This window comes from Homo sapiens, chromosome 2, assembly GCF_000001405.40.
Source record: "Homo sapiens chromosome 2, GRCh38.p14 Primary Assembly".
In the NCBI taxonomy this organism is placed as follows: domain Eukaryota; kingdom Metazoa; phylum Chordata; class Mammalia; order Primates; family Hominidae; genus Homo; species Homo sapiens.
The window spans coordinates 9,857,999-9,873,911 of NC_000002.12; the positions used below are offsets into that span (position 1 = coordinate 9,857,999).

The window sequence follows — 15,913 nt, forward strand, 5'->3', positions numbered from 1 at the left end:
ATCATGCCTTCCCAACAGTCTACCAAAGTCTTAACTCATTCCAGCATTAACTCATTAACTCAAAAGTCCAAGTCCAAAGTCTGATCTGAGACAAGGCAAGTCCTTTCTGCCTATGAACCTGTAAAATCAAAAACAAGTTAGTTACTTCCAAGATGAAATGAGGTTACAGGCATTGGGTAAATGTTCCCAATCCACATGGGATAAATTGGCCAAAACAAAGGGGCCAATACAAGTCCGAAACCCAGCAGGGCATTCACTAAATCTTAAAGCTTCAAAATAAGCTTTGACTCCATGTCTCACATCCAGGCATGCTGATGCAAGGGGTGGTTTCACAAGGTCTTGGGCAGCTTTGCTCCTATGGCTCTGCAGGGTACAGCCCCCAAGGCTGCTTTCATGGGCCAGAGTTGAGTGTCTGGCTTTCCAAGTGCATGGTGCAAGATGTCAGTGGCTCTACCATTCTGGGATCTGCAAGACGATGGCCCTCTTCTCACAGCTCCACTAGGCAGTGCTCCAGTGGGAATCTGTTGGGGCTCCAACCCCACATTTCTCCTCTGCATTGCCCTAGAAGAGGTTCTCTATGAGGGCTCTGCCCCTGCATCAGACTTCTGCCTGGACATCCAGGCATTTCCATACATCCTCTGTAATCTAGGCAGAGGTTCCCAAACCTCAGCCCTTGTCTTCTATGCACCCACAGGCCCATCGCCACGTGGAAGCTGCCAAAGCTTGGGGCTTGCACCCTCTGAAGCCATGGCCTGAGCTATACTTTGGTGCCTTTTAGCCACAGCTGGAGCTGGAGTGGCTGGGATGCAGGGCGCCATATCCTGAGGCTGCACAAAGTAACTGAGCCCTGGACCTGGCCCGTAAAACCATTTTTCCCTCCTAGGCATCTGGGCCTGTGATGGGAGGGGCTGTCTCGAAGATCTCTGACATGCCCTGGAGACATTTTCCCCATTGTCTTGACTATTAACATTCACTCCTCATTACTAATGCAAATTTCTATAGCCGGCTTGAATTTTCTCCCCAGAAAATGGGTTTTCCTTTTTTACCTTGTCGTCCTGCTGGAAATATTCCAAACTTCTATGCTCTGCTTCCCTTTTAAATAAAAGTTCCAGTTTCAGATAATCTCTTTGTGAACACACATGACTGAATGCTTTCAGGATCAGCCAGGTTACCTCTTGAATGCTTTGCTGCTTAGAATTTCTGCCAGATACCCTGAATCATCTTTCTCAGCTTCAAAGTTCTGCAGATCTCTAGGGCAGGGGCAAAATGCCACCAGTCTCTTTGCTGAAACATAGCAAGAGTAACCTTTACTCCAGTTCCCAATAAGTTCCTCATCTCCATCTGAAACCACTTCAGCCTGGACTTCATTGTCCATATCACTATCAGCATTTTTTTTTTTTTTTTTTGAGATAGAGTGTTGCTTTGTTGCGCAGGCTGGAGTGCAGTGGCACCATCTTGGCTCATTGCAACCTCCGCCTCCTGGATTCAAGCGATTTTTGTGGCTTAGCCTCCCGAGTAGCTGGGACTATAGATGCATGCCACCATGCCCAACTACTTTTTTGTATTTTTAATACAGATGGGGTTTCACTGTGTTGGTCAGGCTGGTCTTGAACTCCTGACCACAGGTCAGGCCCACCTCCACCTCTCAAAGTGCTGAGATTATAGGCATGAGCCATCGCACCTGGCCGCTAACAGCATTTTGATCACAATCATTCAACAAGTTTCTAGGAATTTCCAAACTTTCTTTCATCTTCCTGTCTTCTTCTGAGCCCTGCAAACTGTTCCAACCCCTGCTTGTTACCCAGTTCCAAAGTTGCTTCCACATTTTCCAGTATCTTTATGGTGGTATTCCACTCCTGGTACCAATTTCCTGTATTAGTTTGTTTCCACACTACTATGAAGATACTACCTGAGACTGGGTAATTTATAAACAAAAGAGGTTTAATGGGCTCAGAGTTCTGCATGGCTGCAAGGCCTCAGGAAACTTAAATCATGGTGGAAAGCAAAGGTGAAGCAAGGCATGTCTTCCATGGCAGCAAGAGAGAGAGAGTGTGCAGGGGGAAATGCCACTTTTAAAACAGTCAGATCTCATGAGAACTCCCTCACTATCACAAGAACAGCATGGGGGAAACTGCCCCCATGATCCAGTCACCTCCCACTAGGTCCCTCCCTCCAGACATGGGGATTACAATTCAAGATGAGATTTGGGTGGGGACACAGAGCCAAACCATATCAGCATCCAAGAGGAAATTTCAAGCATGCAGTTAGATGTAAAAGTCTGCAGTTCAGGAGAGAGGTCTGAGCCGGAGACATAAATTTCGAAGCTGTTAGTTTATATTATAATCATGAAATCTAACATGCTATTGTTTGTAACATACGCCATTATTTTAAGTACTGCTAAGAAAGAAAAGAGTGCTACAAATTCAATTTTGACATGCCAGTGATTGTAAGATAAATCTTGATTTCTAGGATGTTAAAATGTGGTATGGGAGGGGACATTTTAAAATTTGAAGATAGTAGCTAGTATTTAAAACTGTAAGACCGGATGACATCACCAAGGTATGAAGACAGAGAGAGGACCAATAACTTAGCCCTAGGTCATTCTACGGTTAAGATGTTTGGGATAAAAGAGGAACTGGCAAAAAAATTCTTGGGAACAATGTGAAGTAAGAGGACAGCTGAGAGAATGAGCACTCTGGAAACCAAGGGAACAAAGTGTTTCAAGAAGAGGGCAGTGATCAGCTGTGATAAATGCTGTCACTAGGTCAAGAAGGAAGAGGGCTGCAAAGTGGTTAGTGGAGCAGTGGGATCAAAACCTTGATTGGAATGGAATATAAGGTAGACTGAGAGGAGAGAAATTGGAGACAACAAATTTGGACTTTTTCAAGGCATTTTGCTGCAACAAGTACAAAGAAATTGCATGGTTGCTGGGGTCAAGGGAGAGCTTTTAAAAAGTGGGATAGAGGGGTGGAGCCAAGATGGCCAAATAGGAACAGCTCCAGTCTACAGCTCCCAGCATGAGCAGCGCAGAAGACGGGTGATTTCTGCATTTCCAACTAAAGTACTGGGTTCATCTCACTGGGGAGTGCGGGACAGTGGGTGCAGGACAGCGGGTGCAGCACACCGTGCATGAGCCGAAGCAGGGCGAGGCATCGCCTCACCCGGGAACTGCAAGGGGTCAGGGAATTCCCTTTCCTAGTCAAAGACAGGGGTGACAGACGGCACCTGGAAAATCAGGTCGCTCCCACCCTAATACTGCGCTTTTCGAACGGGCTTAACAAACGGCACACCAGGAGATTATATCCCACACCTGGCTTGGAGGGTGCTATGCCCATGGAGCCTCGCTGATTGCTAGCACAGCAGTCTGAGATCAAACTGCAAGGCAGCAGCGAGGCTGGGGAGGGGCGCCCGCCATTGCCGAGGCTTGAGTAGGTAAACAAAGCTGCTGGGAAGCTCGAACTGGGTGGAACCCACCACAGCTCAAGGAGGCCTGCCTGCCTCTGTAGGCTCCACCTCTGGGAGCAGGGCACAGACAAACAAAAGGCAGCAGTAACCTCTGCAGACTTAAATGTCCCTGTCTGACAGCTTTGAAGAGAGCAGTGGTTCTCCCACCATGCAGCTTGAGATCTGAGAACGGGCAGACTGCCTCCTCAAGTGGGTCCCTGATCCCTGAGTAGCCTAACTGGGAGGCACCCCCCAGTAGGGGCAGTCTGACACCTCACACGGCCAGGTACTCCTCTGAGACAAAACTTCCAGAGGAACGATCAGGCAGCAGCATTTGCGGTTCACCAATATCCGCTGTTCTGCAGCCACTGCTGCTGATACCCAGGCAAACAGGGTCTGGAGTGGACCTCCAGCAAACTCCAACAGACCTGCAGCTGAGGGTCCTGACTGTTAGAAGGAAAACTAACAAACAGAAAGGACATCCACACCAAAAACCCATCTGTACGTCACCATCATCAAAGACCAAAGGTAGATAAAACCACAAAGATGGAGAAAAAACAGAGCAGAAAAACTGTAAACTCTAAAAATCAGAACGCCTCTCCTCCAAAGGAACGCAGCTCTTCACCAGCAACAGAACAAAGCTGGAAGGAGAATGACATTGACGAGTCGAGAGAAGAAGGCTTCAGAAGATCAAACTACTCCGAGCTAAAGGAGGAAGTTCAAACCAATGGCAAAGAAGATTAAAAACCTTGAAAAAAAAATTAGACAATTGGCTAACTAGAATAACCAATGCAGAGAAGTCCTTAAAGGACCTGATGGAGCTGAAAACCACAGCACAAGAACTACGTGAGGAATGCACAGTCCTCACTAGCTGATGCAATCAACTGGAAGAAAGTGTATCCATGATGGAAGATGAAATGAATGAAATGAAGCGAGAAGAGAAGTTTAGAGAAAAAAGAATAAAAGAAACGAACAAAGCCTCCCAGAAATATGGGACTATGTGAAAAGACCAAATCTACGTCTTATTGGTGTACCTGAAAGTGACAGGGAGAATCGAACCAAGTTGGAAAACACTCTACAGGTTGTTATCCAGGAGAACTTCCCCAATCTAGCAAGGCAGGCCAACATTCAAATTCAGAAAATTCAGAGAATGCCACAAAGATACTCCTCGAGAAGAGCAACTCCAAGACACATAATTGTCAGATTCACCAAAGTTGAAATGAAGGAAAACATGTTAAGGGCAGCCAGAGAGAAAGGTCGGGTTACCCACAAAGGGAAGCCCATCAGACTAATAGCTGATCTCTCGGCAGAAACTCTACAAGCCAGAAGAGAGTGGGGGCCAATATTCAACATTCTTAAAGAAAAGAATTTTCAACCTATAATTTCATATCCAGCCAAACTAAGCTTCATAAGTGAAGGAGAAATAAAATACTTTACAGACAAGCAAATGCTGAGAGATTTTGTCACCACCAGGCCTGCCCTAAAAGAGCTCCTGAAGGAAGCACTAAACATGGAAAGGAACAACCGGTACCAGCCACTGCAAAAACATGCCAAATTGTAAAGACCATCAAGGCTAGGAAGAAACTGCATCAACTAACGAGCAAAATAACCAGCTATAACATCATAATGACAGGATCAGATTCACACATAACAATATTAACCTTAAATGTAAATGGGCTAAATGCTCCAATTAAAAGACACAGACTGGCAAATTGGATAAAGAGTCAAGACCCATCAGTGTGCTGTATTCAGGAAACCCATCTCACATGCAGAGACACACATAGGCTCAAAGTAAAGGGATGGAGGAAGATCTACCAAGCAAATGGAAAGCAAAAAAAGGCAGGGGTTGTAATCCTAGTCTCTGATAAAACAGACTTTAAACCAACAAAGATCAAAAGAGACAAAGGTGGCCATTACATAATGGTAAAGGGATCAATGCAACAAGAAGAGCTAACTATCCTAAATATATATGCACCCAATACAGGAGCACCCAGATTCATAAAGCAAGTCCTTAGTTATCCACAAAGAGACTTAGACTCCCACACAATAATAATGGGAGACTTTAACACCCCACTGTCAACATTAGACAGATCAATGAGACAGAAAGTTAACAAGGATATCCAGGAATTGAACTCAGCTCTGCACCAAGTGGACCTAATAGACATCTATAGAACTCTCCATCCTAAATCAACAGAATATACATTATTTTCAGCACCACACCACACCTATTCCAAAATTGACCACATAGTTGGAAGTAAAGCACTCCTTAGCAAATGTAAAAGAACAGAAATTATAACAAACTGTCTTTCAGACCACAGTGCAATCAAACTAGAACTCAAGATTAAGAAACTCACTCAAAACTGCTCAACTACATGGAAACTGAACAACCTGTTCCCGAATGACTACTGGGTACATAACGAAATGAAGGCAGAAATAAAGATGTTCTTTGAAACCAACGAGAACAAAGACACAACATACCAGAACCTCTGGGACACATTCGAAGCAGTGTGTAGAGGGAAATTTATAGCACTAAATGCCCACAAGAGAAAGCAGGAAAGATCTAAAATTGACACCCTAACATCACAATTAAAAGAACTAGAGAAACAAGAGCAAACACATTCAAAAGCTAGCAGAAGACAAGAAATAACTAAGATCAGAGCAGAACTGTAGGAAATAGAGACACAAAAAACCCTTCGAAAAATCAGTGAATCCAGGAGCTGGTCTTTTGAAAAGATCAACAAAACTGATAGACCGCTAGCAAGACTAATAAAGAAGAAAAGAGAGAAGAATCAAATAGACGCAATAAAAAATGATAAAGGGAATATCACCACCGATCCCACAGCTACCATCAGAGACTACTATAAACACCTCTACGCAAATAAACTAGAGAATCTAGAAGAAATGAATAAATTCCTCGACAAATACACCTTCCCAAAACTAAACCAGGAAGAAGTTGAATCTCTGAATAGACCAATAAGAGGCTCTGAAATTGAGGCAATAATTAATAGCTTACCAACCAAAAAAAGTCCAGGACCAGATGGATTCACAGCCGAATTCTACCAGAGGTATAAGGAGGAGCTGGTACCATTCCTTCTGAAACTATTCCAATCAGTAGAAAAAGAGGGAATCCTCCCTAGCTCATTTTATGAGGCCAGCATCATCCTGACACCAAAGCCTGGCAGAGACACAACAAAAAAAGAGAATTTTAGATCAATATCCTTGATGAACATTGATGCAAAAATCCTCAATAAAATACTGGCAAACCGAATCCAGCAGCACATCAAAAAGCTTATCCACCATGATCAAGTGGGCTTCATCCCTGGGATGCAAGGCTGGTTCAACATACAAAAATCAATAAACATAATCCAGCATATAAACAGAACCAAAGACAAAAACCACATGATTATCTCAATAGATGCAGAAAAGGCCTTTGACAAAATTCAACAACGCTTCATGTTAAAAACTCTCAATAAATTAGGTATTGATGGGACACATCTCAAAATAATAAGAGCTATCTATGACAAGCCCACAGCCAATATCATACTGAATGGACAAAAACTGGAAGCATTTCCTTTGAAAACTGGCACAAGACAGGGATGCCCTCTCTCACCACTCCTATTGAACATAGTGTTGGAAGTTCTGGCCAGGGCAATCAGGCAGGAGAAGGAAATAAAGGGCATGCAATTAGGAAAAGAGGAAGTCAAATTGTCCCTGTTTGCAGATGACATGATTATATGTCTAGAGAACCCCATTGTCTCAGCCCAAAATCTCCTTAAGCTGATAAGCAACTTCAGCAAAGTCTCAGGATACAAAATCAATGTGCAAAAATCACAAGCATTCTTATACACCAATAACAGACAAACAGAGAGCCAAATCATGAGTGAACTCCCATTCACAGTTGCTTCAAAGAGAATAAAATACCTAGGAATCCAACTTACAAGGCATGCGAAGGACCTCTTCGAGGAGAACTACAAACCACTGCTCAATGAAATAAAAGAGGATACAAACAAATGGAAGAACATTCCATGCTCATGGGTAGGAAGAATCAATATCGTGAAAATGGCCATACTGCCCAAGGTAATTTATAGATTCAATGCTATCCCCATCAAGCTACCAATGACTTTCTTCGCAGAATTGGAAAAAACTAAAGTTCACATGGAACCAAAAACGAGCCCTCATTGCCAAGTCAATCCTAAGCCAAAAGAACAAAGCTGGAGGCATCACGCTACCTGACTTCAAACTATACTACAAGGCTACAGTAACCAAAACAGCATGGTACTGGTACCAAAACAGAGATACAGACCAATGGAACAGAACAGAGCCATCAGAAATAATGCTGCATATCTACAACTATCTGATCTTTGACAAACCTGACAAAAACAAGCAAAGGGGAAAGGATTCCCTATTTAATAAATGGTGCTGGGAAAACTGGCTAGCCATATGTAGAAAGCTGAAACTGGATCCCTTCCTTACACCTTATACAAAAATTAATTCAAGATGGATTAAAGACTTACATGTTAGACCTAAAACCATAAAAACCCTAGAAGAAAACCTAGGCAGTACCATTCAGGACATAGGCATGGGCAAGGACTTCATGTCTAAAACACCAAAAGCAATGGCAACAAAAGCCAAAATTGACAAATGGGATCTAATTAAACTAAAGAGCTTCTGCACAGCAAAAGAAACTACCATCAGAGTGAACAGGCAACCTACAGAATGGGAGAAAATTTTTGCAACCTACTCATCTGACAAAGGGCTAATATCCAGAATCTACAATGAACTCAAACAAATTTACAGGAAAAAAACAAACAACCCCATGAAATGTGGGCAAAGGGTATGAACAGTCATTTCTCAAAAGAAGACATTTATGCAGCCCACAAACACATGAAAAAATGCTCATCATCACTGGCCATCAGAGAAATGCAAATCAAAACCACATTGAGATACCATCTCACGCCAGTTAGAATGGCGATCATTAAAAAGTCAGGAAACAACAGGTGCTGGAGAGGATGTGGAGAAATAGGAACACTTTTACACTGTTGGTGGGACTGTAAACTAGTTCAACCATTGTGGAAGTCAGTGTGGCGATTCTTCAGGGTTCTAGAACTAGAAATACCATTTGACCCAGCCATCCCATTACTGGGTATATACCCAAAGGATTATAAGTCATGCTGCTATAAAGACACATGCACACGTATGGTTATTGCGGCACTATTCACAATAGCAAAGACTTGGAACCAACCCAAATGTCCAACAATGATAGACTGGATTAAGAAAATGTGGCACATACACACCATGGAATACTATGCAGCCATAAAAAATGATGAATTCATGTCCTTTGTAGGGACATGGGTGAAGCTGGAAACCATCATTCTGAGCAAACTATCACAAGGACAAAAAACCAAACATCGCATGTTCTCACTCATAGGTGGGAATTGAACAATGAGAACACATGGACACAGGAAGGGGAACATCCCATACCGGGGACTGTTGTGGGGTGGGTGGAGGGGGGAGGGATAGCATTAGGAGATATACCTAATGCTAAATGACGAGTTAATGGGTGCAGCACACCAACATGGCACATGTATACATATGTAAGAAACCTGCATGTTGTGCACATGTACCCTAAAACTTAAAGTATAATAAAAAAATTTTTAAATAAAGTGGGATAAATGATAGCATATTTGTGTAGTGATAGGAATGATGCAGGAGAGAAGAAAAATTTGCAATGGAGAGAAAGAGTAGATGTGAATCTTTGAACAGATATCTTTGAGTGTACAGAGAGGTGGGATCAAGTGCACAAATAGAGAAACTGGCTTTAAACAGGAGTTTGAATCGTCCAGAAGAATCAGGCAGAGGCAGAGTATGTGGTAGAGTTGCTGGCAGTGGTAACCTGTGGGAACCTGTGGAAGTTTTCTCTGTGTTCATGCTCATCAGCCAGCTTTCTGGTGTAGCCTCCTTCTCACAGGGCTTCCCTATAGGGAGGGGATATGCTTGACAGAGGACACAAGCATCTTACTTCATTCTCTGAGGTTTTTGTTTGTTTTTTTGTTTTTTTGGGTTTTCTTGCTTCATTGTCTTGTGAGCCTCTTTACCAGGAGTCTTAGTCTTATCTTCCTGTAATAAGATCAAGTTTCTTGGCCTGCAGGGTTGAAATCATGGCTTTTTGACTGTGATCGGTTTGCCTGGGTAATGTCAGCTAATGAGGTCTTTAGGTAGCCAGCCAGCTGACCTTTTTAGGGACACTCTGTTGTTTCAACAGTACATGTGTGAACAGTTAAACAGTAGTATGAGATAGTATATCCTTGTTGATTACATGTTACAAATCGTATATGCTACAGGAGTTCAAGGAAAGGAGAAATCACTGAAGAGTGGGTTGGAAAGATGGCATGATGAGTAAGTAATGAGTTAGGGAGAGGGAGGAAAAGGCGTAGTTCAGGCAGGAGAACCAGAATTAACAAAGATACAAAGCAAAAATTCCCCAGGTAGGTTTGGTAAAAAGAAGCCAGCCAGCATGTGTGGGGTCATTGATGCGCGATGTTTTCAGTGGTGAAGATATTAGCGCTGTAAGAGAGATGTTCATGGAAGAAGGAGACCTGATGGCAGGGCTGGCAGCCGGTTTCCTCGCCCATCCTTGTCTGTGACTCCTCTCCAAGAAGCACTGCTGGGAGCTGTCAGGAGCGTGTTTCAGAAGTAAAGGGACTTGGCAGGCAGTTGCAGTTTTCTAGAGTGGTTTCTTTTAGGGTGTTTGTGATAGGAGTTGTTTAAGTTCACAGAAATTAACTGTTTAAAACTGTTACACAATAATTTTATTTATATTGTTTTGCAAACAGGTATTAGAAGATAATCTAAGTCATTCAGACTGGGCTAGTGAGCCTGAGCTGCTAAGTGATGTCAGCTGTCCTCCTTTTCTTGAAAGTGGAGCGGAGTCTCAGTCTGACATCCACACTCGAAAACCTTTCCCCGTCAGCAAAGCATCACAATCAGGTAAAAATGAGAACCAAACCATTTCGAATTTTAAAGCTGTTATGCCCCTTAAAAATAATTTAGTCTAATCTTCTGATAATCCAAGGAAAGGGAACTTGGTCTAGCGAGGAAGAATCTAGCAAGGAAGAATGACTTGCTGAATCATATGGCTAAGACAAACTAAGTGAAATCTTAGCGCAATTTTTTAAAAGGCACATTGTCTCCATGTGAGTTTTTTGTGTGTGATTTTAAAGGGACATAAAGTTCAAGTGGATCCAGAAAGAAGGAGGCTGCTTCAGAAAGATCTATATGTGTGGGCTCAGCGTCTTCAAAGAAAAGTTGTAGCAGAAAAATGTTATTATGTAGCCATATAGTAAAATAGACAAAGATGGTATGTCCAGTTTCTAAGCATAGACTAAATCAAGCTGAGTAAAATTTACCTTGTTACATGTGTGTTTTACTTTCTGATATAATTCCATAACTTGAAATAAATAAGGAATGTATTTAAGATTAAAATATAGGCCTTCATTCCTTTATCAGTGTATCCACATCTCTTCCTGGACTGCACAGTGACACAGATATCAAATAAGTTACTTTTGGTGTAAAGTGTTAGGATCATTGACTAATTGGGCAACAAGGAATTTCTGGAGTTTTCTTCTCCACCTTTTCAGACAAGCCTGAGCTCAAATATTCCCAGAAGACCATGACTGTAAAACCATCGAACCTTTTTGAAAGAAGATATTAGCTCCTTTTAAAGCATCATGATTGTTTTGTTTACCTATGTGTAACAGTTTTGTTTGCTTATTTTTTTTTGTTTTGTTTTGTTTTGTTTTTGAGATGGAATCTAGTTCTGTCACCCAGGCTGGAGTGCAGTGGTGCAATCTCGGCTCACTGCAACCTCCGCCTCCCAGGTTCACGTGATTCTCCTACCTCAGCCTCCTGAGTAGCTGGGATTACAAGCATGTACCACCACACCCTGCTAATTTTTGTATTTTTAGTAGAGATGGGGTTTCACCATGTTGGTCAGACTGGTCTCAAACTCCTGACCTTGTGATCTGCCTGCTTCAGCCTCCCAAAGTGCTGGGATTACAGGTGTGAACCACCGTGCCCGGCCTGCTTATTTGTTTTTTAATAAATGATGATCCCTAGAGCTTTCTTTTAGTTTTTACATTAAAAGTAATCAATGGCCGGGCGTAGTGGCTCACACCTGTAATCTCAGGACTATGGGAGGCTGAGGCGAGCAGATCACTTGAGGTCAGGAGTTTGAGACCAGCCTGGCCAACATGGAGAAACCCCATCTCTACTAAAAATACAAAAATTAGCTAGGCGTGGTGGTATGCACCTGTAGTCCCAGCTTCTTGGGAGGCTGAGGCAGAATTGCTTGAACCGGGAGGCAGAGGTTTCAGTGAGCCAAGATCACACCACTGCACTCCAGTGTAGGTGACAGAGCAAGACTCCATCTCAAAAAAAAAAGAAGTAATTATTAGTGAAACTCAATATAAAACTATAAAATGCAGATAGTCACGAAGAAAATAAAATCACCAGTTACTGTACCAACTAGAAATTACCGCTACTGCTATTGTAGATCATTCCAGAAAGTTTTTCTTCATGTATGTATACGGAAAGAATTTATTTTGTTTTTGTAAAAATTTGAATTATTTCTTCATTCTTTAAATTTTTAAAAACTTAAAGTATAATAATAAATAAATTTTTAAATCAAAACTCTACAAATCATTCTATAAGTCTTGTTATAAAAAAATCGTAAAAATAAAAAATTGTTTTAAGTTGTAGTCCACCAGTCACGGCAGTGGACTACACCTATTGTAATCCCAGCATTTTGGGAGGCCAAGGAGGGAGGATCAGTTGAACCCAGGAGTCCAAAACCAGCCTGGGCAACATAGTGAGACCTCCATCTCTCAAAAAATAAAAATTAGCTAGGCATGGTGGTGCATGCCTACAGTCCCAGCTACTCAGGTGACTGAGGTTGCTGGAGTGCTTGAGCCAGGAGGTCGAGGCTGTAGTGCGCTGTGATCATCCCACTGCACTCTAGCCCGGCCGACGGAGCAAAACCTTGTCTTAAAAAAAAATAAAATTTGTAGTCTACCTTCAGCTAATGTCCTGTTCCCAAGGGGCATTCATTTTCAACTCTTTTGTGACTTTCATATTTCCGTATCACGTGCTTCTAGTATTACATCTTGATTTCTAGTTTGGGACATTAGCTATTCAATTCTGTTTTAGCTCTTTCACACATTCCTCACTGTCCCTTATCTGCACATAGTCCCCAGTACATGCATGTGCATTTCTCATTCTCTCTCTTCTCAATATAATTGCTGTAATTTTTTACTAGATCAGTATTTACTGCTTAAATTATTATAAATGTATACACATTATTTAGACTGAGCTGTATAGCTTACTATGATTACTTTTTCTGTATATCCTGTGGTTTTCTTGGAGTTGATAATTGTTATTTATTTAGTTTTCTGTTTATTACTAATCCATAATTTATTACTAATGTATCTCCACACTTCCAGTTCTTATAATCTCTTAATATCTTATGCATTCTATCAGTTTCATCTTCTGGAAGAAGTCTCCCTGGAGCCTCTGATCTGCTCTGATCTAGAATGATATCTCTAGACCTGTGGCCTGGCTGACTTTAGGATCTCTCCTTTTTTGTTGTTGTTTTTTTTTTGAGATGGTGTCTTGCTCTGTTGCCCAGGCTGGAGTGCAGTGGCACGATCTTGGCTCACTGCAAGCTCCACCTCCTGGGTTCATGCCATTCTCCTGTCTCATCTTCCCGAGTAGCTGGGACTACAGGCGCCCGCCACCATGCCCAGCTAATTTTTTTTTGTATTTTTAGTAGAGACGGGGTTTCATCGTGTTAGCCAGGATGGCCTCGATCTCCTGACCTTGTGATCTGCCCACCTCGGCCTCCCAAAGTGCTGGGATTGTAGGCGTAAGCTACTGTGCCTGGCCAGGATCTCTCTTTACCACCATCCTGAGATTCTGTCATTTTTCTTTTGTTGGAATTTTTTATTTTCTGCATCCCATTTCTTCTTTCCTGGATTACCCTCTCATTTTTGTGGAGCATCTTTTATTTCACAGAGAATATTAACGATATTTCATGCCTGACTTGATTGTTTTGGCCTCTGCTTTTTACATGAAAGGCTTCAAATGTTTAGTGAGCCTAAGATAGCTATTCTTACTTAAACATGGGAGACTAAAAAGTTGATAAAAGGCTTTGTTTCCGTGGTTAGTCTTGTCAGCTCTGCTCTGCTTGCAAGGTTATTTTCTCAGTGAACCCCAGCATTATCATCTTTAAATCTTTTCCCCCCGAGCTGATCAGATTCCTCAGAGAAATCTCTTTGAGTCTTCTGTTTGGCGGGTTTGTAATCTTGGCTGTCACTGTTCTGGAAACTGGGTAGGAAGAAGAAGACCGGAGGGGAATGGGGGATTGTTTTAGTATTCAGTATGTAAACTTTCACTTAAGCCTCCTGTTTTCACTTCTCAACAGTGCATGTGAGTGGCATGCCTTATTCTAGAGACCCTTCTCTCTGGAGAAGAAATTTCCAGTTTTTGGCCAAGACTAGGGAGGGGCATCACTTGGCTGCATGGATTTGGGATAAGAATCTGGATGTCTGGCTGGGTGTGGTGGCTCACGCCTGTAATCCCAGCACTTTGGGAGGCCGACGCAGGCGGATCACGAGGGCAGGAGATTGAGACCATCCTGGCCAACGTAGTGAAACTCCGTCTCTACTAAAATACAAAAAATTAGATGGGTGTGGTGGCGCACGCCTGTAGTCCCAGCTACTCAGGAGGCTGAGGCAGGAGAGTGGCTTGAACCCGGGAGTTGGAGGTTGTGGTGAGCTGAGATCACACCACTGCACTCCAGTCTGGGCAACAGAGCGAGATTCCATCTTAAAAAAAAAAAAAAAAAGAATCTGGATGTCTAACTGCTTCTTAATCTGGATTTTAAGCAGTCATCCTGGTGTTAGGCCTGCCTTCATCCAGTTTCTAGGGGTATGAGTTTCTCCAATTCCTGAGCCTTCTTTAGGGATCCCCAGTGAAAACTGCTTTTTGGCATATTCCCCACTGCTGACTTTGAATCTAGCTTTCCCAGGACTGCTAAGCCAATAATCACCTATCTGTATGCTTTCTGACTTCTAAAATTTTATTGTTCTTGTCACCTTTTTCATGTTATTTGTCCTCAGGTTTACATGTTTAAAAAATTCTCTTTATAATTGTTGTAGCAGGAGAGAGCAGAGGCTAACGTGTTTTCAATTTGCCACCTTAACTGGAAGTCCTTACATATTATAAGGAATATACAAAAAATTGTGTGTGTGTACACAACACACATTTATTTTATGGAAATCTGTGACTTTATATATTCATTTAAAACCGATGGTCCTTAAACTTTAGCATCCATCAGAATCACCTGAAGAGCTTGTTAAACCTTAGTAATTTGCAGTTCCATTACGTTCTCAGGTGATACTAATACTGCTGGTCCAGGAGTATACTTTGAGAACCACTGATCTTAAAGTTCTATGGACATTGTTTTGTAGTATACCATTGCATGGAATTACTTAATTAAACTTCTATTCCTGGCATTTAGGTTGTTCTAAATTTTTATATTATAAACAGTGCTGCCACAGCATTCCTTGACCCGAAACCTTTGCATGGCTTTCAAATCATTTCACTGGGATGAAATCTTCAAAGTAGAACTGTTGGGCCTATTTGCACATCAGGTTTCTACTCTGTGCTAGAGACTGTTCTGGGCACTGGGACATAATGGTGGCAAGACTGTCCGCCTTCAGGGTGTTTATATTGTAGTAGGAGGAGATAGGCAATAAACGACCAAATAAAGAACATTTTAGTCACTGATAAGTGCTATGAAGAAAGGACTTACAGAATTTGGAGAAAGGGATTTTGAGGAGTTATTTTGAGACTTTGTGTTTAAGAAAGTGTAGCTTCTCAGGGTCATTCCTAGTCCTGCTGCTTTTCTACCCTTACTCCTTATGTGACTTCACCTAATACCATAGCTTTAACCAACCACCAACTATATGCTGAAACTAAAATTCCTATCTCTAGTCCCACCTCTCCTTCAAAGTATAGATTCTTATATTCAGCTGCTGACTCAACATTTCTGTTGGTGTATTTAATAAGATTCACACTTAACACACATAATTCTAACATTGATTTCGCTCATCAAACTGGATTTTTTTTTTTTTTTTTTTTGGCCATCTTCCTTGTCTTGGTAAATGGCAATGCATTCTACTTGTTGCTCAGGCCAACAACCTTATAATCATACTTGTTTTCTTTTCTCTCATGCTTTACATCCAATCTATCAGCAAATCCTTTGACTCTGCCTTTAAAATCTATCTAGAATGCAACCATTTCTCACCAGCTGCAATGCTACCGCTCCAGTCCAAGTACCAGTCATGGCTTTCCTGGAAGAGTGGTCTTCTGTTTCTACTCCTGCCCTCCCGTAACTCCATTCTTCCCTCAG

The 15,913-nt window shown here is 42.0% G+C and overlaps 1 protein-coding gene across 5 annotated transcripts in view; it reads left to right on the forward strand.

Moving 5' to 3' along the window:
* Positions 1–15,913, forward strand: part of TAF1B (TATA-box binding protein associated factor, RNA polymerase I subunit B) — a 90,975-nt gene that overhangs the window by 14,557 nt on the left and 60,505 nt on the right. For all 5 annotated transcript variants that reach the window (NM_001318976.1, NM_001318977.1, NM_005680.3 and 2 more), the window contains 1 exon segment: positions 10,278–10,431. Coding sequence is in view for 2 of the 5 variants with exons in the window: in NM_005680.3 (NP_005671.3) it covers positions 10,278–10,431 (154 nt within the window). In the remaining 3 variants the exon portion in view is untranslated.